At 39.1% G+C, this 26,882-nt stretch overlaps 3 protein-coding genes and 1 pseudogene across 43 annotated transcripts in view, besides 2 other annotated features; 1 reads left to right on the top strand and 3 right to left on the bottom strand.

Moving 5' to 3' along the window:
• REXO5 (RNA exonuclease 5) overlaps positions 1-448 on the bottom strand; it is a 43,241-nt gene extending 42,793 nt beyond the window's left edge. For 5 of the 11 annotated variants that reach the window (NM_030941.3, NM_001144924.2, XM_011545964.3 and 2 more), the window contains exon 1: positions 168-346. The gene's annotated coding sequence lies outside the window, so the exon portion shown is untranslated. Of the gene's footprint in view, positions 1-27; positions 347-382 lie in introns of those variants that run through there. The other 6 variants (NM_001199053.2, XM_047434726.1, XM_005255604.3 and 3 more) reach the window with 4 other exon arrangements.
• Positions 260-1,205: an enhancer, noted in NCBI's record as "H3K27ac hESC enhancer chr16:20816990-20817935 (GRCh37/hg19 assembly coordinates)". NCBI's record gives its function as "activates a minimal SCP1, AML or CMV promoter by ChIP-STARR-seq in naive H9 embryonic stem cells {active_cell/tissue: H9 hESC(naive)}" and the evidence as "EXISTENCE:reporter gene assay evidence [ECO:0000049][PMID:30033119]".
• On the top strand, positions 401-26,680 carry ERI2 (ERI1 exoribonuclease family member 2). 2 transcript variants are annotated; one of them, NM_080663.3, is made up of 11 exons: positions 401-465; positions 3,203-3,270; positions 3,357-3,440; positions 3,950-4,077; positions 5,514-5,670; positions 6,471-6,571; positions 6,835-6,916; positions 7,522-7,610; positions 15,941-16,023; positions 17,316-17,394; positions 26,139-26,680. In NM_080663.3, the coding sequence occupies exons 1-11, from the start codon at positions 443-445 to the stop codon at positions 26,229-26,231; spliced, it is 987 nt and encodes a 328-aa protein (NP_542394.2). In that variant the 5' UTR covers positions 401-442; the 3' UTR covers positions 26,232-26,680. The 2 variants fall into 2 exon arrangements, with proteins under 2 accessions (NP_542394.2, NP_001136197.1); NM_001142725.2 differs by lacking the exons at positions 15,941-16,023; positions 17,316-17,394; positions 26,139-26,680 and adding an exon at positions 7,806-10,533.
• Positions 402-511: an enhancer, noted in NCBI's record as "active region_10540". NCBI's record gives its function as "activates an Ori minimal core promoter by ATAC-STARR-seq in GM12878 lymphoblastoid cells {active_cell/tissue: GM12878}" and the evidence as "EXISTENCE:reporter gene assay evidence [ECO:0000049][PMID:35858748]".
• ACSM3 (acyl-CoA synthetase medium chain family member 3) overlaps positions 9,292-26,882 on the bottom strand; it is a 123,177-nt gene continuing 105,586 nt past the window's right edge. For 18 of the 30 annotated variants that reach the window (XM_047434427.1, XM_047434421.1, XM_047434424.1 and 15 more), the window contains 9 exons: positions 26,016-26,159; positions 25,743-25,899; positions 25,086-25,165; positions 21,766-21,889; positions 20,715-20,795; positions 16,185-16,286; positions 14,744-14,871; positions 14,538-14,637; positions 9,716-10,503 (listed from right to left, as the gene is read on the bottom strand). In XM_047434427.1, coding sequence (XP_047290383.1) covers positions 10,267-10,503; positions 14,538-14,637; positions 14,744-14,871; positions 16,185-16,286; positions 20,715-20,795; positions 21,766-21,889; positions 25,086-25,165; positions 25,743-25,899; positions 26,016-26,159 — 1,153 coding nt within the window. In that variant the 3' untranslated portion in view covers positions 9,716-10,266. Of the gene's footprint in view, positions 10,504-14,537; positions 14,638-14,743; positions 14,872-16,184; positions 16,287-20,558; positions 20,796-21,765; positions 21,890-25,085; positions 25,166-25,742; positions 25,900-26,015; positions 26,160-26,882 lie in introns of those variants that run through there. The other 12 variants (XM_047434437.1, XM_024450368.2, XM_047434435.1 and 9 more) reach the window with 2 other exon arrangements.
• On the bottom strand, positions 22,258-22,364 carry RNU6-944P (RNA, U6 small nuclear 944, pseudogene; annotated as a pseudogene).

Below are 26,882 nucleotides of genomic sequence, written 5' to 3'. Positions count from 1 at the left end.
ACACGGGCTTGACAGCTTTCAACCTCCCTCGGATCCGCTTCTCAATTCAGTTTACCGAACTATCCCCGTTCCCCTAAAAAAGCGAAGGTGCCAACGATCTCCCCGTTCCGCGGACTGGACACCCGCGCCGCTCTAACCCAAACGGCTTTACCGTCCGCATCGGTTACCGGATTCTCAACGGTTCCCCAACGGCTACAACGGGCGTCTGCCTGGCAAAGAAGGAAGGTGCTGCCGAGCGGCTTCGCCGCCTAAAACCACTCCCCACGCCCCCTAGCCCGGGAAACGCAGAAGAGAAGACGGGCGGGGAGCAGAGGTTCTCCCCTCCTTAGCCACAGCTGCCAACAACAACCGCCCCTCAGCCTCGCGGGCTTTTTGAACGGACCGGAAGTAGAAGTCGAGCGACTTCCGGCAGCTGGACTTGGAAAAGCAAGGAGTGTCGGGAATGGCGACCAAGCGGCTCGCGCGGTACTCGAGGGAGTTCCGGGTCGGGGGCGGGTAGCTCCGGGTCCAGCGCTGGCGTTGGCCGCAGAGCAGGGCACGGCAGGTGGCATCTGCGGTGAGGGCCTCTATTCCCCGCAGCCCCGGCGTCTGCGACCTGCCCTCTCTGGCACGGTTGGAAAGGCGCCTCCCTGGACCTCGGTCTTCAGCCTTGGGCCACCTTCTACCCGAGGGTGACAGGAGCCCGAGGCGGACGAACCCTGGGGCCTTGACTGTGTGGCCTTGAGCCAGTGCCTGCCTATTTTAGGCCTTGGGAAACGACTGGACGTGACAGTGCCCTGCAGACTGGTTGGAGGTCTCAGGCAGGCCACACACTGAATCTGTCAAGGTGTTCAACCTGTTCGAAATGCTCGTTCCTCGGTGCTGTAAAGAAATAGAACTTAAACTTAAATTTAATTTATTTAGTAAGGCCATTTTTACTTCCTGCAGAAAGGGTACACTCGCCAGCAGTTTTGCCAGGAGAGTACACTGAACAAAGGAGACAGGGTCATTTATAACGTGGCGCGTCCACCCTACTGCTGTGTCCGGTTTCCTTTGGCTGGAACGGGACCTCACATTCTGTATTTGTCCCGACTGACTAGCAACATAGAACTTTTTAAAAGAGGCAAAGGCAGAGGAGAACAAAGGAAGAAGGAAGTAACTTGTGGAATGCTGAGAAAGGTAAAAACACTTTTAAGTAAGGAAGAGGAACAGGCTATGACCTAATGTTTGATTGGACCAGTATAAGCATGCCAGGGCAAATATTTAGGCTAAATTGTGGGAGCTAAGAACATAAAGTACATTGATTTCTTTATTATATCTAGCAGATATTTAAGAATGTTAGCACAGGTCTTTGAATAAATTTTGCTCTAAGAGAAGTTACTATTTATTCCTAATTAGACGGGGAAGGAAGTCTTTGAAGAGGAACCTCTACTTTTTACAAACCCATTTTCTAGTGATCTTTTTTTTTTTTTTTGAGACGGAGTTTTGTTGCCTAGGCTAGAGTGCAGTGGTGCGATCTCGGCTTACCATAACCTCTGCCTCCCGGGTTCAAGTCATTCTCCTGCCTCAGCCTCCCAAGTAGCTGGGATTACAGGCATGCACCACCACACCCAGCTAATTTTGTATTTTTAGTAGAAATGGGGTTTCTCTATGTTGGTCAGACTGTTCTCGAACTCCCGACCTCAGGTGATCCACCCGCCTCAACCTCCCAAAGTGCTGGGGTTACAGGTGTGAGCCACGGTGCCTGGCCTAGTGATCCTTTTAATTCACAATATGAATTATTGTGTCCTCCCTGATTCCTGGATGCGCTGTGCATATTTCTGATTACTAGAAAGATGTAATATAATAGCAAATAGCATGAGCTTCAGAATTGGACAGTCTTGGGTTCACATACCAAAGCTATGTTCTTTGGCAAATTAAGAATCAGTTTTCTCATCCATAAAATATAGGTAGGAAAAGTTTCTAGCTACTACACTTGTTGAGGATTAAAGGAGGCCATCATCTTAGTTTAATTTTAGTACCTGCTATGTAGTAAGCAGTCAATAAATGATATTTATTATTCCCAAATCCTGGCACTTCCCACTCTTAGCAAACACAGAAAACTACAGGAGGTGTCTGCCTAGTTAAAACTCTACCTGCTAATACCAAGTAGTTTGTTTTACTTGCACTTAAGACCTCAGTAAGCTCTTCTCTTTTTTTCTTATTTTATTTTATTTATTTATTTTTTTGAGACAGGGTCTCGCTCTGTTGCCCATGCTGGAGTGCAGTGGCATGATCTCGGCTCACTGCAGTCTCCACCTCCCGGGCTCAAGCAATCCTCCCACCTTAGCCTCCTGAGTAGTTGGGACTACAGGTATGCACCATCACGCCCCAGCTAGGTTTTATAATTTTTGTAGAGACGGGGTTTCACCATGTTGCTCAGGCTGGTCTCGAACTCCGGAGCTCAAGCAATCCACCTGCCTTGGCCTCCCAAAGTGCTGGGATTACAGGCATGAGCCACTTTACCTGGCCCTATCTTTTGTTTCTTTACCCAGATTTTTAAACTGGAAGACTGAACCATGTCCTACATTGTCTTGTCTTCTTAAAACTGCACTGTACACATAGCAAGAGCTTAAAAAATGCAGGGGGAAAAATAAGATTTTCAGTGCATTTTTACCTCTACAATCAAATGATTGTAGGAACTCAAATGAGTTACTCAGTATTACTGTAAAACAAGGGTAACATAAAATTAGTGTAAATTGGCTGGACACAGTGGCTCAGGCCTGTAATCCCAGCACTTTGAGGGGCTGAGGTGGGAGGATTGCTGGAGCTCAGGAGTTCGAGATGAGCCTGGGTAACATAGTGAGGCCCTGCCTTCAAAAAAAAAAAAAAATTAAAACTAATGGGCCGTGGTGGCATGCATCTGTAGTCTTAGTCAGGAGACTGTGGTGGGAGGATTGCTTGAGCCCAGGAGATTAAGGCTGTAGTGAGTGGTGATCATACCACTGCACTGCAACCTACGTGACAGAGCAAGACCCTGTCTCAAAAACAAAACCAACAAATTAGCCTAATTTGCAAATATGTACTTTCGAGGCCTGTGCAGGTAAAGCCAAAGTCCAGTTCGATTTCCCCTCAGTCACAATAAATAATGAGATTGTTGCCCAGTACCATTAGTTTGGTAGCCTACTCAAACAGGAGTGTGAATGAGTTCATTGATCATATTTGGATTGCTTCACATTTTTAGGCAGCTTGGATTAATTAGGAGAAAGTCAATTGCGCCAGCAAATGGAAATCTCGGAAGAAGCAAATCCAGTGAGTAGTATGCTTAGTTTCTTTGCATTTTGTAGCCTTGCATTTTCAGCACTGGTAAAGCATAAGAACAACTTGATCTTTTGCAGAGCAGTTGTTTGACTACTTAATTGTCATTGATTTTGAATCGACATGCTGGAATGATGGGAAGCACCACCATAGCCAGGAAATAAGTAAGTCTGGGCTACGAATGGCCAAAGCTGGCACTAGATGAGTCACTTTAAAGTTTATAGATCTGAATCAGCCAAAAGTTTAAGAAAACAGGATGGTCTATGCATTGGTAGTTTAATGCAAAACTTATGTTGAATAAAAAAGAGCAAAATCTCAAATACCTAAATGTGTTATTATATAAAATAGTTGTTTTATATTACATACAACACCTCAATGGCATAGAAACTGAAAAAAATGCCTTTGCAAAAAAAGTAAATTTTATATTCCATATGGTTTTTATATTTATTTAATTATATTGTTTTCTTTTAAGACAACATGCTCATAACTTCAATATTTTGACTTTAGCATAACTTTATTATAACCTTTATGTCACACTGCTTTGGTCATTTTAGTATGCTTTTACTGAAAACTGGTTGTTTAATTAAAATGGTAACATGTTTAATTTAGGATGATTACAGGATTAATTTAAAAATTATTTATTCAACTGTCAATTGATTATTCTTTCATTTAGTTGAGTTTCCAGCAGTGTTGCTGAACACATCAACTGGACAGATTGACTCTGAGTTCCAGGCTTATGTTCAACCTCAGGAACATCCAATTCTTTCAGAATTTTGCATGGAATTGACAGGCATAAAGCAGGTATGATGCAAATCTTAAAATTCAGAAGTCAGTTTCAAAAAGAAAATAAAAGTTATTATACCATTTGAAATTAGATTTATTTAGTGTTAGGCATGATGGCTTATGCCTGTAATCCCAGCACTTTGCAGGCTGATGTTCGAGAATTGCTTGAGGCCAGGAGTTTGAGACCAACCTAGACAACATAGTGAGAACCCCATCTCTAAAAAAAAAAAAAAAAAAAATTTAAATTAGCCTGACTTGGTGGCATGTGTCTGTAGTCCCAGCTTCTTGGGAGGCTGAGGCTGAGGTGGGAGGACCACTTGAGCCCAGGAGTTTGAGGCTGCAGGGAGGTATAATCTCAGTCTATCCTGGGTGACAGACTTTGTCTCTGAAAATAAATGAATAAATAAGTAAATAAATAAATAAGATTAGTGTTATTCCAGATTCAGGACTCGATTTATGTATTTATTTATTTATTTTTCAGACAAAGGCATGCTCTGTTGGCCAGGCTGGAGTAAGGTGGCGGGGCTCACTGCAACCTCTGCTTCCTGGGTTCAGGCGATTCTCATGCCTCAGCTTCCTGAGTAACTGGGACTATAGGTACACACCACCACATCTGGCTAATTTTTATATTTTTAATAGAGACAGGGTTTCACTATGTTGGCCAGGCTGGTCTCGAACTCCTGACCTCAAGTGATCTGCCCACCTTGGCCTCCCGAGGTGCTGGGATTACAGGCGTGAGTCACCTCAGGACTCGATTTAAAAAGCAAAGGAACATACCTGTAATCTCAGTACTTTGGGAGGCCAAGGTGGGTGGATCATCTGAGGTCAGGAGTTCGAGACCAGCCTGGCCAACTTGGCAAAACCCCGTCTCTACTAAAAATACAAAAATTAGCCAGGCATGGTGTTACACACCTGTGATTCCCACTACTTGGGAGGCTGAGGCAGGAGACTCACTTGAACCCAGGAGGTGGAGGTTGCAGTGAGCTGAGATCATGCCACTGCACTCCACCCTGGGCAACAAAGCAAGACCTCGTCTCAAAAAAAAATAAATTTTAAAAATTAAATAAATACACAGCAAAGGAAGAATAATGTTATAAAAATGAGGATCAAATTGATTTTATGGAAATTAAGTGACTCAAATTTGTCTATGATTTATGTCAGTCTGGACTTAATGATCATATTTCTGTGTGATTTTAGTTTTTATCAACCTAATCTTTCTTACCTTGGTGGGTTCTAAATATTCTTTCTTTCCCACGTGTTTTTACCTCTTTCCACTAAATAAACTCTTTGCCAGTTAGAACCACTTTGTTATGTCTTCCCACAGTACACTGTGTTTTCATGACTTGGCATTTCTGATTCTTTTAAAACCATTAATCTTTCTCCACAGTTATAAAACATGCTAAATAATAATGGAATTTGATTGTTGAATTCAGCTTTTGTGACTCTCTACTCAGGCTCAAGTTGATGAAGGAGTCCCTCTGAAGATTTGCTTATCTCAGTTCTGTAAATGGATTCATAAGATTCAGCAACAGAAGAACATTATTTTTGCTACTGGGATTTCAGAGCCTTCTGCTTCTGAAGTAAAATTATGTGCATTTGTTACTTGGTCAGGTAAAGAATAAGTTATACCTATTAATCACAGATGGGTAGCATTACCACTATGTAATTCTTTATTTCTAGTTTTATACTTGCTAACCTAGAATTATGTTTGTTAATCTTCTGGGCTAGGAAAAAAAATTTAAATGCCTAGCAGATGTTAGCCAAGAAAAGTAAATTAATACATATTTTTTAAATTAACCTTTTGGGATACCTTAAAATATTAAGCCTGAACTTAAAAAAATGTTTCTAGAGTTCCACTGTTAAGAATTAAGCAAAGATGATTTAGTGAACACTCTTATGCTATTTTCTACAGTCTTCATCAGCTCAACATCCTTTGCTTTTATGCTTTGACACTTAAAAGAAAAAAAAAATGAGCCATTTAAAGTAGGTTTTTTGTATGACTGTGTTAGAGCATTGCTGTTAATAGTCATTAATAGCAATACTGTGTCATTGATAAGATAGCATTGATAGTCATATTTGGTTTCCAGTTACTATAAAATGTTTGGTTTCTCAATAACATTAATATTTTCCTAGAATATAGAAAATATAGTCCTTGTAATTTAACATGTTACTCTTCTTTCTGAAATAAGGTTTTACTGGGTGTTTAAGAAATCATTTTGAAATTTAGTCATCAACCTAACTTGTTAATAGTAAGTTATATAAAGTGAATAATTTTTAGATATTAGCAGAGCAATGAAATCATACTGTTCTATTTTATATGATCTTCTAGCATTCTATTTGTAAATGGTGGCAGCATAAGTAAAAAATGCTGGCATCATTGACTTTGTTCTATTTTAATGTACCTAATGCAGACTGGGACTTGGGGGTTTGCCTGGAGTATGAGTGTAAAAGAAAGCAGCTGTTAAAACCTGTGTTTTTAAATTCTTGGATTGATCTCAGAGCAACTTACAAGGTAATGGTAAAAAATGGGGGCATGTTTACTTTTTTCTATGGAAAAATGATTAACTTTTATCCTACACATGGGCATGGGTTTCTGCAAAGAAGATACTTTCTTTTGTACTGGTCACATAAATGCATTTCTTAAAGTATTTAAAAACAACACACAAAAAATAAGCACATTCTAAATCTAATAGAACTAAAAATTATGAAAAGTGTTTAATACATAGTCTTTAAAATAGTAATCTTCTTTTAAATATATCTTTTTTTATTGGTTAGCTTTTCTATAGGAGAAAACCAAAAGGACTAAGTGGTGCCTTGCAGGAAGTAGGAATAGAATTCTCAGGACGAGAACATTCTGGTTAGTATACATTAAAAATTATGTAAGCCATTTGACTTTTAAAAAATACTTCATATGAATTTCATTTTTTGGTAATGTCATTAGTAAGGGATATCTTCAGCCTAAAAAAAAAAAACTCCTAATCTAAACAATTCACATTGTTTCTAAGACTTTCAAATTACCACTTTCATAAACTATTGTAAGATACACTGCCATCTAGTGGCTTTCTAGTTGCTAAGAAGAATGAAAAGAATGAGCCAAATCAAATGGAGATTAAACAAGTGCTCAAATAATAGAATGGACTAGTGAAAAAACTGAACAAGACTATTAGATTATTCACAAATCCTGGTTCCTGCAGAACGCTGGCCACATTTTGGGGAACTGTCTAATACATTTTCATATCCTCCTCTATAAATGTGGACGAGCTTGTCTTTCACTGGTAATGCTGCCATAGCCTTCCACTTCCAAGACCAGTTTATCATGATTAAAATTAGTAGATGGTCATAAAACTAAAACTGTGTTCCAATTTCTACACAAGTGGTGTTTTTCTTTTTAAGTTATTTCTTTAGTACTAAGGAAATAGTACTAGTACCACTAAATTCAGTGTTTGATATCTGTATCCTCAGGGTTGGACGATTCTCGGAATACTGCCCTTCTTGCTTGGAAAATGATCAGAGATGGTTGTGTAATGAAAATTACAAGGTCGTTGAACAAGGTTAGTAGTGTCTTGCCTTTTTATTCTGTCATCTCAAACTTCATAAACAGTCATACGTTCTTTGAAACGTAGATTTAATGTGTGCAGTCATTTATAAATCAATGACATTTCTCTTTTTTGTCATAAAACTGTATACTGAAGAAATTAACGAATGCACAGTTTCTAAAGCTGTTGCATTTGTCTGTGGAATCATAGGTTCCCACTAAGAAGAATTTCAGCATTCTGGCCAGAAATTTGAATACAATTCAAGTTGAAGAAATGTCTGCCTGTAACATTAGCATCCAGGGTCCCAGCATATATAATAAGGAGCCTAAAAATATAATAAATCCTCATGAAAAAGTTCAAATGAAGTCAATTTGTGCAAATTCTCCTATAAAGGCACAACAGGATCAATTACAAGTAAAAAACAATATAAAAGCAAGTCTTCACAATGTCAAAAGTTCCTTACCTCTTTTTAATACTAAGTCCTCTACTTCTGTGGGGCAGTTGCAGTCTCCTACCTTGAATTCACCTATCTATATGCAAAAGCAAGGAAAAAATGAACATCTTGCATTTAATACCAAATCTAAGGCTTCAACAGTTGGTTCAGAATTGGTACTTGTTTCTACCACCGTTCCAACTGTTCATCATGTTTCTGATTTGGAAATGAGCTCTACTCTGGACTGTTTACCTGTGTTGGCTGATTGGGAGGATGTGGTTTTACTGCCAGCATCTCAGCCTGAGGAAAACGTAGACTGTACAGTTCCCATTAGTGACTCAGACTTAGAGATTTCATTTAATTCTGGAGAAAGATTAATGGTTTTGAAAGAATTGGAAATGTCAAGTCATGAAAACTTTGGAGACATAGAGGAAACTCCTCAAAAATCTGAGACTTCTAAGTCTATTGTGTACAAGAGTCCTCACACTACTATTTATAATGTAAAAGAAGCCAAAGATCCAGGTTCAGATATTTCTGCCTTTAAGTTACCTGAACACAAATCAAGTACCTTCAACAGAGTTAATGCCAATATGTCTCATCCTTTAGTTTTGGGGAAACATCCTCTTCTTTCAGGTGGTACCAAAAGGAATCCATGCAGTCCCCAAGCTTTCCCACCAGCAAAAAAACAACCCTTCACTATTCATGAAGAAAAGCCTACATCATCTGATTGCTCCCCAGTAAGAAGTTCTTCCTGGAGGCGTCTCCCATCTATATTAACTTCTACAGTTAACCTACAAGAGCCATGGAAGAGTGGGAAAATGACACCTCCATTATGCAAGTGTGGTCGGAGATCTAAGAGACTTGTTGTTTCTAATAATGGACCGAACCATGGAAAAGTCTTCTATTGTTGCCCTATCGGGAAATACCAAGAAAACAGAAAATGTTGTGGTTATTTCAAATGGGAACAAACACTTCAAAAGGAAAGAGCCAACAGCATGGTTCCATCTCATTCCACAGGGGGACTCACTTTTAGTTCTCCAGAAACAAGCCATATTTGTGACAGAAATTTAAGTATTTCCACCAAAAATTCTTTGAGACTCAGGCCTTCAATGAGGAATTGATAACCTTTCATGTATGAATCCTAATTGTTCCTTGAATTTCCAAACATGAGTATTCTGATAACATCTTACACTATTTTATTTTTATTTTATATATTAATGTTTACTGCATTTACCATACTTTCTTCAGGAACCACAAGTGTAATCTTTTGTAAACAGTATTTATTAGATTACATATAATAAGCAACAATAGTATATGATCCTTCTTTTATAGTTAGACCTTGAAACAAGTCTAAACTATTTTTAAATTATTTGCAAAAAATGTGACTAATAAAAATCCCTAGTCTATTTTCAGGTAGATTCTTGTACTTTGAGATTATCATAATCTTCTAACTGATATTTTATATTTTTCTAAAAACTTTTATAAGTTCTTTAGTTTTATTTCAGGCTTGAACATTGGTTCTGATTTGTATATCAACATATCAGAAGAATTAGTCAACTAAAGTTTGAAAACCTATGTAGCAGAGATCTGGTTCAGAAACTGCTTCTATACTATACATTTAAAAATTAATCAGCAATTGATGGTATTATTTTTATATTAAGAAATGATAGGAACATTGACACTAATGTGGAGGAATTTGCCAAATATTTTATTTCAAAATTTAGCCTCTGATATCATAACCACAAGATATTTTAAATCAACAGTTTCTAAGCATACTACCACAGTTTTTATGACCTCTCCATCATCTTGTGGTTTCTAGAGATTGACAGATACTATGTTTGTTTTATAGATATGGTAATTAATGAAACAACTTTAAATTGTCTTCCATTCTTTCTTCCTCAGTTCATTTCTTTTTGTCTTCCCACTGATAGTCTTTGGCAGCTCTTGAATAAATTCTACCTGTTGGCATCAAGGGGAAGAAAATTAGCCTGGAAATTTTTATCTTTACATAAAGCCAATTATATAGCAGTTTGATTATGAATTCTAGGTGGAAGAATTAGAATAGTCTTTGGAATGGGTTTTGGGTAACAGCCAAAATAGGGAAAAGGGTATTGTTAGGAAAGTTGTCTTGATATTAAGTATTTACTGTGAGTCCAGTAAGCCAAAGGACCAAACAAAATAGGTTCAGGGTTTCATTTTAATCTCAAAGATTCTGATTCTTACCCATATGTCATCAGTTCAGTTTGGGACATGTGGTGCAGCATGTGTGAAGAAAATATTCATTAAAATGTAAAAATAAACACTTGAAATTGTCCACAACACTGAGCAAATATTCGTTATAATTAGGATGCCTACCTTTCTGGGATATTTGTAAGGTGCTGTAGTTTTTTTAACATGCTCCTGAATCTCCTTTATTAGTTGTTCTTGATCATGTGACTTGTAATCAGGATTTAGAACGACAAAAGCCTTTACTACCTAAAATAAATATTTGAAACACCAGGAAAATGAGTTATGCATTTGTATGTTTTAGTATGTCTTGTTTGCTTGCTCTGAGAATCTACATGCCTGGTGGGGTGGGCCAGTGTGTTTTAATAAAGTTTGATCCCAGCTCTGTGCTCTTAAGCCAGCCACTTCCTGGTCTGTACCTAATACAGGAGAGCTTCTGGGACCCCTGTAACAACCCAGCCTCATCCAGCCTAGCCCTCAGCATGGGGGATTACTTATAAACAGTAGTCACGCTGAGTTTGCCATGTCTTTGTTGAAGGGAACAGTTCACAGAGAACATGCAGTCTTTATACAAGGCTGTGAAGATTCCAGCAGCTATTTTTTTGTTGCTCTGATCCATTTCCATGGCCCTGAGGAACAAGAGTGGAAATCATGGTGGCCTTTAACTGGCAGAAGCCAAGAAAGATGTTATTACTTTATGCTTACAAATCCTCTTCTCCAAATTTTATCCTTCCTAGAAATGTTTTTGAAAACTCTGCCTAGTTTTTGGACCTGTAATGGAGAAGACAGAAAGATAGGCCATCCCTCATAGCCCCCTTTAAAAGTAAATTTGGAGTCCTGTCATTTTCTCTCCTAGGGCACTACCAGGACTGCCATTTACTGCCTTCCCTAGAGGCATGAGTCTAGGTGCATCAACTAGTATGTACCTCCAACGCCAGATTACCAGCCCGGAGCTGGCTATGGAATGATGCTTCCCTGTAGGCACAGTTCCAGGAGAGTCCCCTGAAGCTTTTTTATGATTAAGTATCCTGCACTTAGGTGCCTGAAATCTTATTAAATTCAAGGATTCGTTTGTCCAGCTTAAAGATAAGCTGGCAACATTTCCTATCCACTTTGATCTGGGAGTAAAGATTTCATTGAAAAGGAATTATTTGAAACAACAAATTACCAGGACAGCCATTTGGTGAGAAACAAAGACTTGAAGTTATAATTTTTTCACATATTGAAAACTGTTCACCAGTGGGCAGTTTTACATTGTATGAACAATTACCCATTTTTGTCTTTACCCAAAACCCTTGTGGCCAGGCACAGTGGGTCACGCCTGTACTGCCAACATTTGGGAGGCCGAGGTGGGAGGATTGCTTGAGCCCAGGAGTTCGAGAGCAGACTGGGCAACATAGTGAGACTTTGTCTCTAAGAAAAAAAACAACAACAACACTTGAACATTTTTAATTTACATGTGCCATGCGGCAGTTGTGAACCCTTGTGTGTGTGTGTGTCTATGGATATAATTTTGTTCCATTCACTTTTTGACATTTTATAAAATGCATTTGTAGTTATGCTAGCTCTGCTGCATTAACATTTTTACAAATTAAAAAATTATGCTTGTTGTAAGTGAGTCATTCAAAGGTAAATTATTTTAAAAACTGCAATACTGGTTCACATATTGACGATTTCTACAACTTGGATAGTCTCTTTTATCTTTTTAAACTACTGCAGAAAATGTTAAATTAACAAGGAACAACCTAACATGGGTAAGAGTATGAACTCTGAAGTCAGAACAGCTGGGTTCAAGTCACAGTTTGTTGTGTAATGTTGGACAAGTTAGGTAATCTCTTTGTGCCTCAGTTTCCTTCTCTGTAAAAGAGATTATGATGATTAAATGAATTAGCATAGATGTATAATGCCTGGCACATAGTAAGTCATCAAAAACATTAGCTCTTAGTTGTAGTCTTAGAATTACAAGAAGTTTGGGTCTTATTTTTTAACCCAGAATCCATAAGTGGGCTTCAAATCTCTATGAAATTCTATGCAAAATCTTGTATTTTTCTGAGAAAAGTCTATGGCTGTGCCATTCAATATGATAGCTGCTAGCCACGTGTGTCTATTTCAATTTAAATCAATTAAAATTAAATAAGATTAAATACTCTCAGTCACACTAGCCACATTTCAAGTGATTGATAGCCATGCATGGCTATCGCATTGGATGGTGCAAATATAGAACATTTCCATCACTGCATAAGTCTTAACAGTGGCCTATGGTTTTCTTCACATTCTCAAAGAGATATGTGATCCCAAAAATTTAAGAACCTAGTGATCTAGACACATATTCCACAAGTCTTTCACATTCCAATGTTAAAATGGTATTTCAAATCCAAATATTCTTTTTAATCAATTCTGGAACTTGCTACCCAATTACCCTGCCTGGCAGGACCCAGCCTAGAGAAGGACCTAACCCAGGTAGAATAGGCCTGGCAGCAGAAAGGGAGGCATGGAGCACATGGCCGTTTTGTTCATGGATACCTCGTTTGAGATACCCACTCACATCTTCTACTAGGAAATGCTGCAGCCTACCACTGTTGGAAAACTGGCCACACTTTCCCCCTCACTCTGACTAATCCAAGCCCTATGCCAAGCCCCCGGAGCTGTGAGGGGACCACAACCCACTTATAGACCTTTCCTATATTGTACGCTAGGATATCAGGTGGCTGCCAAGCTAACCCTGTTCCGAAAGGCTCAGCTACCATCCTGTCCCTAGTAAGCACCTGTCTAGGTGGGTAAAACTGATGATGACTAATGGTAGGGGAGAAGTACAGGAAGAGCTAAGACTCGTGAAACCTTGCCGATGATGTTCAGAGCAAAGAGACAAGCCAATAATCACTGACTGTTTTCCCTGCCCTCAGCTGCCTGGAATATACCCTTTCACAGTAAATAGCGATTGTCATCCTAGCAACTTGACAAACTACCAATTCCCAGCCACTGGGCTATATCTGGAACAACTTTGGGCCATCCAGGAGGACTTAACAGGGTATCTTCTGGCATCAAAGATCAGTTAGGGGAATCAGTCCTGGGGGGAGATCCACCCTCCACTGTAACATGCACATCTCCTATTTTTACCTTAAACTTTTTTATTTTTATTTTTATTTTTTTGAGGCGGAGTCTTGTTCTGTTAGCCAGGCTGGAGCACAGTGGCACGATCTTGGCTCACTGTAACCTCCCCGTCCCGGGTCCAAGTGATTCTTCTGCCTCAGATTCCCAAGTAGCAGGGATTACAGGCGTGTGCCACCATGCCTGGCTAATTTTTGTATTTTTAGTGGAGACAGGGTTTCACCATGTTGACCAGGCTTGTCTCAAACTCCTGACCTCAGGTGATCCACCCACCTCAGCCTCCCAAAGTGCTAGGATTACAGGTGTGAGCCACTGTGCCTGGCCTGCCTTAAACTTCAGGACCTATTTCATCCCCTGAGATTGGATACCTTCTAACTCTGCCCTGTGCCCTGTGCTTGAAGCCCTATACCTAGGATTTGAGATAAGGAGCTTGAATACATGGTACAGAAAGTTCTGGATTTGTATTGACATCAGTGTCATCTTCAAAACTTGGATTCAGTGTTAGAAGGGATATGGCTTGAAGAAATACTTGTGAGAACTTGTAACTCAGCTAGAGAAACCCTAGGGGCATGTTGTAGACACACAGGCAAAACGCAGGAGGCTGCCTGGCATGGTACTTTTAAGCCAAAATACTGTGTGGTCAGCCCCAATAGGAATGGGCTTTCAGGACACCTGTGTTATTCAGAGTTTATTTCCTGAAATCTCTACTTATTTACCTACCAAGACTGCTTATGGTTACCTCAGTTCCAGCCTCTGGTTCCCACTTCTGACATCTGATGCCAGCCCATTCTCCTTCACTACACCAGGGACCTCGTTGGTTTCCAGACCTTCTGGGTAACAATTTGATCCCATCCAGCTGACTTCTGTCACCCCATCCTGACGTGAGCCTGGGTTACTGGCATTCACACCATCTTTGCCCTAGTCCACCACGGAAGGAATTCAAATTCTTTCTAGTACGTATTTTCAGCCTTATTTTGTTTGTCTGTTAGGATCAGAGCTGCAACTCATAATTCAATCTTATTTTGTAGCAGTTCTTTCTGACTAGCATATTTCTATCTGACTTGCATATTTAGTAAATGAATCATTTGGTTAATTCTGTTTCACTGAGCTACTGTTTGTAAGTATGTGTTAAATTGCCAACAAATTATAAAGTTGACATGAATCAGTTCTTTTACCTCTCCTCTGATGGGGTCTGGGCTGCTGACAACAGCTGACTCTGCAACTGAAGGGTGTTCATTCAGGGCATTTTCTACCTCAAATGGTCCAATTCGATAGCTAGAAACACATATGGCAGGAATACATACAGGTGAGTGGCAGGTTCACTCTAGAACACTGATGATCAGTTAACACAGACATATGCACATATGGAAAAGAAAGTTACCCAGAGGATAATATGACATCATCTGCTCTTGCAACAAACCAGAAATACCCATCTTTATCCATATATCCTCTGTCCCCAGTGATATAGAAATTGCCTCGTAGAGTTGAAGCTGTTTTTGAAGGATTATCCTGCAAAACAAATAGCATTTTGTTGTTATGGTGAATCCAACTCTTCTGGTCAATTGGAATTTTTTTTTTTTTTTCCGAGACAGTCTCACTCTGTTACCCAGGCTGGAGTGCAGTAGTACGATCTTGGCTTACTGCAACCTCTGCCTCCCAGGTTCAAGCGATTCTCCTGCCTCAGCCTTCCAAATAGCTGGGACTATAGACGTGCACCACCACACCCGGCTAATTTTTGTATTTTTTGGTTGAGATGGAGTTTCCCCATGTTGGCCAGGCTGGTGTCGAGCTCCTTACCTCAAGTGATCCGCCCACCTTGGCCTCCCAAAGTGCTGAGATTACAGGCATAAGCCACCGCTCCTGGCCCTCAATTGGATTTTTAAATGTTCAAGGAAGCAGAAAAGTTTGGCTCCTTTGAGAAGCATTAGAGTTAGGAAGAGATAGATTGTGAAAATAAAGATGAAATTCCAGCATGGAGCTAGCCCGACAGAAGAAAGGTAAACTACAGTTACAAAGATTAGTCATGTTTCCATCTTGAGATTTTTCTTAGATAGATTACAAAATAAATATTGCAGTAGCTCAGAGGAGTAAACTAAATTAAGTCTTTTGCTAATTGATTAATAGATAATGCTGGTAGGAAAAGAGAGAAGTAAATACTCAAGAGTCAAAAGAAAGCACTGACACCTAATAAAGAGCAGACAGGTTTGTTTTGTTTTTGTGCTTTGTTTTGTTTTACACAATAATAGAATTGGTTCTGCAAGTCTGACATAAGAAAAAACAAGATACTGTTACATTATATCAAATACACTGGCAAGTAGCATCTGGATCTTTTATTATATGATAGAGACTTTGCTCTAATTTGTATACTGTGATTAGAGATGAAAATATTGTTGTAAACAGTAAGGAGCTTAGAAAGCCTCTTGTGAAAGACATTTGCTTAATCCCACCACCCCCGCATCCCCTGTCCCTCTCACTCTTCCCGAAAAGAAAGAGCACTAACTGGATTTCAGGAAAATGAGTGGGTTTTGTTTGATAATTGAGAGGATCAGGGGATGTTAAGAGGCTGTCCTCTTTCTAGGGTCCCTTCCTCTTGCCTTCGTGGACCTGGAACAGTGATCTGGCCTCAGGGGACCAGCATGCTTTTCTTCAGCAAGAATTTGGGTATTTCTTCAATTTCTTGTCTTTTGGATTACTATTCAGGACAACCAATCTCTCAAGAAAGGGTCAAGTACCTATCCTAGGTATGTTTTGTGGCAAACAGGGATTGTTACCAAGCACTTGAGAAATAAATAGAAAATGAGATTATTTAGTAAGTCACTTACTACGTAATGAGTAAAAAGGCCAAATGGTCGGTTGGGTAGAACTTGAATGCCAATATCTCCTTCTTGTCCAGGAGGTAGAACATTGCCATTTACATCTACAATCTAGGATAAAATAGAACAATTTATTTAAGGAAATTTTTGTTTAATGTCGCAGCTTAAATATTAACTTTGCAAGTTTTATTTTGGCTTTTGCCATTTAAAAATGAAGACTTAAAAAAAATTTTGTGTGTGTGAGACAAGGTCTCACTTTGTCACCCAGGCTGGAGTGCAGTGGTGCAATCATAGCTCATAGCTCACTGCAGCGTCAAACTTCTGGTCTCAAACAGTCCTCACACCTCAGCTTCCCAAGTATCTGGGGCTACAAGCACATGTCATTATGCTCAGCTAATGTTTATTTTTATTTTTTGTAGGGATGAGGGACTCATTATGTTGCCCAGGCTGGTTCCTGGCTTCCAGTGATATTCCAGCCTTGGCCTCCCAAAGTGCTGGGATTATAGGCATGAGCCACTGCACCTGGCCCAAAAATATTTTAAATATACTTTAAATTCCTAAGAGAAATATATTTACTTAAATTCTTATTGCATAAAATATTAAATACAGGTTACCAACATGTGAACGCAGGATAAAATTTTTTAAAAATTTTACCATCCAGCAATAATCACATTTTGGTAATATCCTTTGAGACAATATAGATAAATCGAAAAATAGGATTGCTGGCTGGGCGCAGTGGCTCATGCCTGTAATCCTAGCACTTTGGGAGGCCGAGGCGGGTGGATCGCCTGAGGTCAGGAGTTCAAGACCAGCCTGAGCAACATGGTGAAACCCCATCTCTACTAAAAATAGAAAAATTAGCCAGGCATGGTGGTGGGCACCTGTAATCCCAGCCACTTGGGAGGTTGAGCAGGAGAATTGCTTGAACCCGGGATGGGGAGGTTGCAGTGAGCCGAGATCACTCCAGCCTGGGCAATGAGTGAAACTCCATCTCAAAAAAAAAAAAAAAAAAAGAAAAATAGAGTTGCTTTATAATATACAGTTTTGCCAACCTGCTTTTATCATTTAGCAATAGGTCTTGATTATCTTTTCCTCTTGATAAATAAATATCTTCATTACTGGTTTTCAAACTTTGTTTAGCTGTGGAACCTACAGAACCTTACTTCAGAAGCCCAATATGAGTAAACAGGAAAAGGGGAATATTCTCTGGTTGACAATGGTAAGTAAGCCACAGCCTTGCTCTCTTACCCTCTCTCCAATCCTCATCATTCCCTGAAGTGTCTACCAGTAGCTAGCATTTATTAAGTACTTAATACATGCTAAGTAATTAATGCTAAACCTTTAAGTACTTGACATGTACCTATTCCTCACTGTAGCCCTATGTGGTTAGAATTTTTATGCCCATTTGACACATGAGGAAACTGAGGTGTAGAGAGTTTAACACTGTGCATGATTGAGCTGGAATCCAAATCTCACCACTTACACTCCAGATCATATGCTTTTAATCATTACACTCCTCTGTGCAATGCCTCTAGAGAGTTTAATCCAATTAAAAAAATCAGATTAGCATTTCTCAAGTTGATTGCTGATTTTATACATCAGATTTTGCTCTAAATGACTTTTAGCTGTTTCTAAGTATCAAAATTCTGCTTTTATATATATTCTCCAGATACCTTCAAACCTGAGGTGTGGCCTGCATGGAGAATAAGTATAATACTTATCTAGCACTTTCCAAAAGGAAAGGGGCTTATGTGCTGAATGAGAAACTTAAATGGCAAAGGAATTCTAAGCGTAAAAACTTCTCTTTAAGCTCTTGCAAATAAAAAAATATAAATTCCCACCCAGTTATCTAAAGAAATATGTGGTTCCAGGTATGAAGGAATTATTGATGGAAAGGAAGTATTTTAAAAGTTCCAGTTACTTACAGATTTTAATAGATGGGAATATAGATAAAATCTTCTGTGTCTGGGGAGAATCATGTTCCTCATTGTTCATAGGGTCTTAAAATGTTTAAACATGAAAATTATGAGTATTTAAAAGCAAACAAAGAAGATTATAAAGGTTGGGCTTTGAAGTTGTAGGAATCTGATATTCACCTGGTTGGAACACATCCCCAGATGCCAGAATGTTACTGCAGATGCCCTTAGCTAAGGAACAAGAAGCCCCATAATAACGGCCCGTGGAAAAGAGTTAAAAATGACTGGGGATGCAGAAAAAGTACTGTTTTCCTCTCAGCCTCATCATATTTGCATTCAAAGATAGCTGCTCTAGAAAACCACTGGGCTCAAATTAATGGGGAGCAGGTGGGGGTACCTTGCAGTTGGGATCACTGTGAATACAGCTGTGCCTGTAAGACCCTGATAGCCATGCATGTTGGGAATTGCTATTAAGGAAGGAAGAAAAAGAACATAGCTGTGTTACATATCAACTTCCCTGTAATGCAGACATGAGTGTGCTTAATTATCAATATTTCTTTCTTCAACCTAAGGTAGCCTGTTAACCAACAAACTATTGTTAAGCCTGTTTGGGCTCTCCTACCATTTTTTCTTAGATAAGCTTTTCAAAGAGGAATGTGAAAAAATAAAAAAATAAATAAATAAATAAAAAGAGGAATGTGAGGGAGAAGTAAATAACAGTACCCATCTTTTGGACCTTTATTATGTACTAAGCATTCTGATATGCTCTTTAAACATATTGTCTCCTTTAATCACCACAAGAAACCTATGAAATCAGTTCTGTTATTATTTGGTTTACCAACCATCTGAGACTGAAGTGGTGAGGGGTTGTCGGGGGGTGGTTCTTCAGGATGTATTGCCTTAAGTGCTAAAACCAGATAAGTCCCAGGCAAACAGACAGGTTGGTCACTCTAGTCCCAACTTTACAAATTAGGAAACTGGAACTTACAGAGCTTTAACAGTGTACCCACAGACACTCAGACAGTGAATAGCAGAGATATAGTTGAACCACTAGGCTATCCTATCTTGAGACCAGGTTTCCACAGCAAGGTTAAAGTGAGAGAAAGGACCCAGGATCTGGTTTATTCTATAAAGAGTTACAGCAGCAATCAAGCTCATCTAAACTCTCTCAAACTTATTTGATCCTAAAAACTACTTGGGGGGTGCTTGTTAAAATCACAAGATTTCAAATTTCAGAGTTCCACTCCAAATCTATTGAATTGGTCTCTCCAGGGGCCTGAGAATTAGTATTTTTAACAGATATCCATATGATGTTTATGATCAAACAAGCTTGGGAAACATTTATCTAAGAGCTGTACTCTGTTAATTCATCCATATTTTTGCTGCTTTTGCTGTCTCTTAACGTACAGATGGGTCTCTGAATTAAAATGGTTCGAACTTACTATTTCCCAACTTTACAATGGGTGAAAAAGATAACCATTCAGTTGAAACCATCTTTCTCTCTAGATGCTGGGCAGCAACAGTAAGTCACAGCTCCCAGTCAGCCATGCATTTGTGACTTAGGATGTTTTCAACTTATGATGACTTATTATTTTGGGACATAACCCTATCATAAGTTGAGGAGTGTCCAAATTAGTGTTAAGTTCCTTTGGCTACACCCAGCTTTGAAGCTCGGTTGATCTGAGAACAATTTTAACCCTATATAAAGCTTGCTGATGGGGAACTGGAATTCCCCCTAGGCATCAGGTGGTAGTAGTGGCAGTGGATACAGAGAGGCTGGAAATGGCCAGGCAGGCTTGGGAGCAGAGAGGGAAAGTGCTGCAGCCACTGTAAACTGAAGCCTCTTCGGGCCTAGTTGACCCGCTCAGAAGGTCTTGACCTCCCTTGCCTGAGAGGACCAGTGTTGTGTTGTGGTTAAGAGTGCAGATATTGGAGCCAGACTGCTTGGGATTGAATCCCAACTCTAGCAGCTATTAGCTGTGTGACTTCTGGTGAGTTCTTTTACCTCTTTGTGCCTTGTTTGTAAAATGGTTCTAATATTAGTATGCTTCTCATAGGGTTTCTTCTGGAAATTCAATGGGTTAATATTTATTTATTTAGAGACAGGGTCTTGCTCTGTGGCCCAGGTTAGAGTGCAGTGGTGTGATCATGGCTCACTGCAGCCCCAAGCTCCCAGGCTCAAGCAATCCTCCCATCTCAGCCTTCTGAGTAGCTGGGACCACAGGCACGTACCACCATGCCTGGCTAGTTTTTTATATTTTTTTGTAGAGACAAAGTCTCACGTTGTTGCCCAGGCTGGTCTTGAACTCCTGGGCTCAAGTGATGCTCCCGCCTTGGCCTCCCAAAGTGTTGGGATTACAGGCGTGAGCCACTGCATCCAGCCTAATGGGTTAACGTTTATTAAATGCTTAGAACTGTATGGTACAATATGGGTATTTGCAAAATAATGGAGACCAAGAAGCTAACATTTCTAATCATTTTCACATATTTATAAAAATTAAAGTATCATGGAAGTAAAATGGAATCACCATCATAACAAAGAAAGTTTATATGGGGGTAAGCGGTAGGTAGGTAGTGTACAGATTGGGTTGTTAAACATTCTCCTGGAAGGGGATGTGCAAACCTTAACATCGAAAGCAGGAGAAGGTTTTCCCATTGAGCCAGGTTTAATTTTCATTCCCTTAAAATTTCCACAGATTAGCACCTAGTTAAGAAGAAGAAAAAGTAAGATAACATTACAAGTCACTTAAAATTTATTCATCTATCATGCATTCATTCAACAAATTATTTATTGAAAACTTACTATGAACTAGGCTCAAAATGAATGCTATACTCTCATGGAATGTAGTGATAACATATAAATACATGCATATGTATAAAATATAGTTATAACAATAATTACTCATATATCCATATTTATCAAAACATGAGTATATTAACATTTGCATTTATATTAGCATACTTGTTATGCTATTTCTAGTTAATGAATTTTTCAATTTTTGATTTTTATTTTTGATATTTTCATTTTTTACCAGGTGATACATTCTCATGGTTCATAAATTGAAGCATTATAAAGACACATTGTGAAAAGTTTTTTCAACTTTTCCCTTATCTATTTCATCTTACTCCTCCCTCTTCTACAAAATAACCACTGTTGTTCTTTTTTCTTATTTCATTTTTTGTTCTTATTTCATTTTTTGTTCTTATTTCATTCATTTCCTCTAGAATTTCTTATTCCTTATCTCTATGAGCTCTTTAAAAAATCCTTTTTAGAGTATGGTTGCTAAGGAGTTGTCCAGCAAACTCTTAATATTTCAGGCAGCAAGGATCTCAGCATTTTCCATTTTGAGGCAGCCCTAAATAAGATACTTCCCTATCACACTGGGAGGAATTCTTTCTTTCAGTAGATCCAGTATTATTTCATTTAAAAAAATATTGTAATGCCCTTACTCTGATCCATTAACAGTGGTGTTTGTCAATGAATGGCTATTTAAACAACTATCTGTTAACAGAGCTTTTTTGCAATTAGGTTCTTGCAAGCATTGTTTTTTTAAACATTTTCTAACCACTCAACTCCTATCCCTCAAATAATCATAAGGAGACTGTGGACACTTTGGTTTTTATTCATCTGACTAAATGGAATCCAGCTATGTCTTTTCAGTGAGGTCAGGTACCGTTTCAGTCTGTCCATATCCTTCGTAGATATCCAGGCCCGTCTTGTTTCTCCATTTTTCAGTCACGTCAGGGGTAATTGGTTCCCCAGCACTCACACAGTGCTTTAAGCTTTTAAACTTATAGCTTCTCAGAAAACCAGATAAGTTAGATTTAGGAGGAAAAATGGAGAGAAGTGAAGATTAAGGATTATTTCTTATGAACTTCAATATAAAATGTTTTAGTCGCTTTTTAATTCCTCTCCCTAGCACAAAACAAACCATTTTACCCCATAAACATATACAACTACTAAGTACCTACACAAATTAAAAATAAAGATATTAAAAAGATAAATCATTCTAATATCATAGAATGATACTAGAATACCCCAAATACTAGTTTTTCTTTACCCCCCTTTTTGTGGTGGAGGTATAATTTATTACAAAGAAGGTCATTCTGTTCTTAGGGAAGGTACCCCATAATAACATTTTATTTTATTTTGTTTTTATTTTTATGTTTTCATGGAATGCTTCAAAAATTTGCATGTCATCCTTGTGCAGGGGCCATGCTAATCTGCTCTGTATCATTCCAATTTTAGTGTATGTACTGCTGAAGTGAGCACCATAATAACACTTTAAATCAGCAATGAAAAGTACCAATTGTTTGGTAAAACTGATGGTGGGATATTTATACAATGGAATACTATACAGCTATGAAAAATGAGGAAGCTCTTGGACAGTGCTGCCCAGTAGAACTTTCTGTTATATGGAAGTACTCTGTAATCTGCTGTACCCACTACAGTATATGCTAGCCCTATATGGATATTGAACACTAGAAACAGGACTAGTATAACTGAGGAATTGAATTTTTAATTTTACTTAATATTTATATTGAAATAACTAGCTGTGGTTAGTGGCTACCATATTGCACAACACAGTGCCAGAATGTATTGTTAGAGGAAAAAAGCAAGGTGCAGAACTGTGTGAATCTTGTGATACCATTTATGTTTATAATAGAGAAGGAAAGGCCAGGTGTGGTGGCTTACACCTGTAATCCCAGCACTTTGGGAGTTAGAGGTGGGCGGATCACCTGACATCAGGAGTTCGAGACCTGCCTGGCCAACGTGGCAGAACCCCATCTCCACTAAAAATACAAAAAGTAGCCAGGCATGGTGGTGCACACCTGTAATCCTACATGCTCAGGAGGCTGAGGCAGGAGAATTGCTTGAACAGGAGGCGGAGGTTGCAGTGAGCCGAGATTGTGCCACTGCACTCCAGCCTGGGCAACAGAGCAAGACTCCGTCTCAAAAAAAAAAAAATTGAGACGGGGAGAACACATGTGTATCAGTTTGTGTATTTTCAGGGAGAATAGACAAGAAACTGGAAACTCAGTTTGCCTCCATGGAAGAGGACTGGGTCACTGGGGACAAGGTTTGAAGCAAGACTTTTCACTATGTATTTTTATATACCTTTTGAATTTTATGGCAGGTGAATTATTTCCTATTCGATAATTAAATAACATCAGTTTAAATATATTTACCTGTGATATGAGCTATAACAAGAAATACATAGATGTTGAGTATCCTTAATCTGAAAATTCAAAATCCAAAGTGCTCCAAAATCTGAAACTTTTTTAGTACCAACATGATGCTCAAAGGAAATGCTCATTGGAGGATTTCAGGTTTCATGTTTTTGGATTAGGGCAGCCCAACCAGTATAATGCAAATATTCCAAAATCCAAAACAATCTGAAATCCAAAAGACTTCTGGTCTCAAGCATTTTGGATAAGGGATACTCAACCTGTACTGAGTCTTCATCCTGGGTTCCTGGCCCAGAGCTTCTAAAACCTTTGTAATTTCCCAAGTGATGGGTGTGCTAGGAGTATCTTTTGTTCTAATATTTTGCCTTTGACTCTAGTTTCTGATACAGAGCTTCTAAATTCCATGGAATTTCCTGGGTAATAGAATTGTCTTTTGTTCTCATGAGGCGACTCTCAATGGGGCTCCCGTATAGGGGTTGGTCACAAGAAAGACTAAGCCAGGAACAGAAGCTTGGCACTTTCAGCCTCACCTCCATCCTTCAGGGAAAGGAGAGGAGCTGGAGATTGACTTAATAATCAATCATGCCTACATAATGGAGCCTCCAAAAAAATCCCTGAAGTATGAGGTTTGGAGAGCACCACGTGCCGGAAAGGTAGTGCACCCCCACTCCACAGGGATAGAAGCTGCTGCACTTGGGACCTTGTGGACCTCACCCTATGTACCTCTTCATCTGGCTAGCTATTCATCTGTAACTTTTATCATATCTTTTATAATAAGCTGGGAAATGTAAGTAAGTGTTTTCTTGCACTCTGTGAGCCATCATAGCAAATTACTAAACCCAAGGAAGGGTCATGGGAACCTCTGATTTGTAGCCATTTGGTCATATGCGCAGGTGACAGCCTGGACTTGTGATTAGCATTTGAGATGGGAAAGAGTCTTGTGGGACTGAGTCATTAACCTGTGGGATATGATGCTGCCTCCACGGAGATAATGTCAGACTGAATTAAATCATAGGATACTCAACTGATGTTGGAGAATTGGTCAATGTGGGGGAAAAGATCCCTTACATCTGGAGACCCAGAGTATTGAGTGTTGTGAATATAGTAAAATAGTGGTTGCTGGGAGTTGAGTTATGAGGATGCAATAGCGTAAGAATGATATAATGGACTTTGGGGACTCTGGGGAAAGGGTGGGAGGTGGGTGAGGGATAAAAGACTATACATTGAGTACAGTGTATACTGCTTGGGTGATGGGAGCACCAAAATCTCAGAAGTCACCACTAAAGAACTTATTCATGTAACCAAACACCACCTGTTTCCCAAAACCCTATTGAAACAAAACAAAACAAAACAAAAACAAAAACAAAACAAAGAGAAACGGGGGTTGTTTTTCTTTTTGGATTACCAATGAACCCTTTCAAATGGAATCAGCAATAGAATAAAAGATATGCATCCTCTTTTCTATCTGCTGGGATAAGGTTCCAAATAGAAACAAGTTCTCTACTTTCTCAGCTCAGAGAAAGCCATCATCCAAAAGATTTACCATCTTCTTACCCATAACCACTGGGCTTAGAGCTATAAACATAGCTGAACCCTCACTTTCTTCTTGTTTGGGGGATCTTGCCCTGGTCACAGTAATTATCATTTACAGAATGCAGGCAAGAAGGAGAAAGAGGAAGAGGAGAGATTGCTAAATCCTGTGTCTACTGGCTTGGAGCTATGTTTCAGGCAGAAAGATCTTTTATTTTATAGCTTCCTCTTCTCCCCTCTCCCCACTAGATGCCTATTTACTAACATTTCTTACCTGGTTATATCATTCTGTACAAGCATTCGGTATACAGTTGGTGCTGAACAGAAGACTGTGATGGGGTACTTGGAGAGTGTCTGCAATTTAGAAAAAGCAAACTCTTGGTCTTACTACAACTTAAATAAGTGCTTAAATGTCTTTGGTTGACGCAGCACAATTTAAACATTGTTTATGTTAATGTAAATACATTCTTACCTTTTCTTGTAGAATCATCCCTCAGTGTCTGCAGGATTGGTTCCAGGAATGCTTAAGTCCCTTATATAAAATTGTATGGTATTTGCATATAACCTATGCATATCCTCCCGTATACTTTAAATCATCTCTAGATTATTTATACTGCCTAAAACAATGTAAATGCTATGTATATATTTGTTACATGGTATTTTTTATTTGCATTTTTTTAATTGTTGTATTTTGTTTTTGGTTTTTCTCCCCAAATATTTTCAATATGTGCCTGGCAGAATCAGAGGCTGCAGAACCTGTGGATACAGAGGGGGCCGAGTGTATCTTTTCAGGCTTATTGACTTTCTGGATGTGACATATCTTAAATCATATTGTCTACTCTGATCTCTGCAAGTTGCTTTATTCACCAGTTCTGTCAGCCATACTGCTTAATGCATTTCTAAATATTGACCTCTTTGTGCTTTGGCTTACTTGCAAGATAGAAGTCGGCTCAAAACGGGGTAAATGGTGTGTGAATACACATGCTCCCTGGATCCACGGAGAAAAAACACTACTCCATGCAGACTTTGCCCAGCCCGTATCTGAGGTATTCCACATCACATCTGAGGGTGTCAAATCTAGCCAGAACCTGGGAAAACAAAGAGTAGCCCTGATGTACATAGGAAAATAAATATAAAAGACCAGTACATAAGTCATCATCTTTGCAGTTTTGACACTTCAAGCTGCACTTTTGTGAAAGTATACCTTCCATTTACAGATAATCCTAAACCAAAACTGCTGTGGGTGTGTGCAGTCATTTTCGGATATCCACTTGTTCCACTGGTAAAGAATATGGCCATGATCTCATTGTGTTTTGTCTTCACACAGGTGTGGCTGTCACTGGCATGTCTGCAAAGGAAAAACTACAATGACTGCATGTTAAACACAGCATCACAGACTGTTACCACTGAAAAATTTTGAGAAGCTCTCCACTTGAACCTCTTCATGTCATGAATCAGGTGCCAGTGGCTTAGCTTGAATTACAGGGTAAAAGCCATCACTTTCTCTATCCTTTTAGGTGCTTTCTAGAATCAAAACTAAACTTTGTCATCAAAGGCCCATTTATAATAGCTGCTTTCCTAGCTTTTTATTCTATGATAAAGAAGGATTGAAGCATTTTTAAAACTTGAGATTTTTATCATACCTCCAGCAGAGTAAGGAGTCTGTGTGATCTTGCAATCATGGATAAGGAAGAATTTTCCCCTTCCCTCCCCTATGGATGCTTTAAAATGTGATTTTTTAAAAATGAGTATGTTAATACAATACATGTTAGTAAAAGCCATGGGTACTGATGGGCCAACACACTACAGCCTACTGGCAAAATCTGACTTGCCTCTTGTTTCTGTAAATAAAATGTTATTGCCCATTCATTGAGGTAGTACCTGTGGTTGCTTTCACACTACAGTGGCAGAGTTGAGTAGTTGTGATGAGACTGACTATACGGCCTGCAAGCCTTAAGTATTTATTCTCTGTCCCTTTTACAGAAAATGTTTGCTGAGGCTGGGCATGGTGGCTCACGCCTGTAATCCCAGCACTTTGGGAAGCTGAAGCGGGTGAATCACCTGAGGTCAG

This window comes from Homo sapiens, chromosome 16 (genome assembly GCF_000001405.40).
Source record: "Homo sapiens chromosome 16, GRCh38.p14 Primary Assembly".
In the NCBI taxonomy this organism is placed as follows: Eukaryota; Metazoa; Chordata; class Mammalia; order Primates; family Hominidae; genus Homo; species Homo sapiens.
Note: the sequence above shows the minus strand (reverse complement) of the source record. Positions and strands in the feature narration are given on the sequence as shown.

Excerpts from the sequence above, each read along its gene's own strand:
- ERI2 (NM_001142725.2), top strand. The coding sequence starts at position 443 with ATGGCGACCAAGCGGCTCGCGCG. Across the intron at positions 5,671-6,470 it reads TGCATTTGTTACTTGGTCAG|ACTGGGACTTGGGGGTTTGC; the intron begins GTAAAGAATAAG and ends TACCTAATGCAG. Across the intron at positions 6,917-7,521 it reads CTCAGGACGAGAACATTCTG|GGTTGGACGATTCTCGGAAT; the intron begins GTTAGTATACAT and ends CTGTATCCTCAG.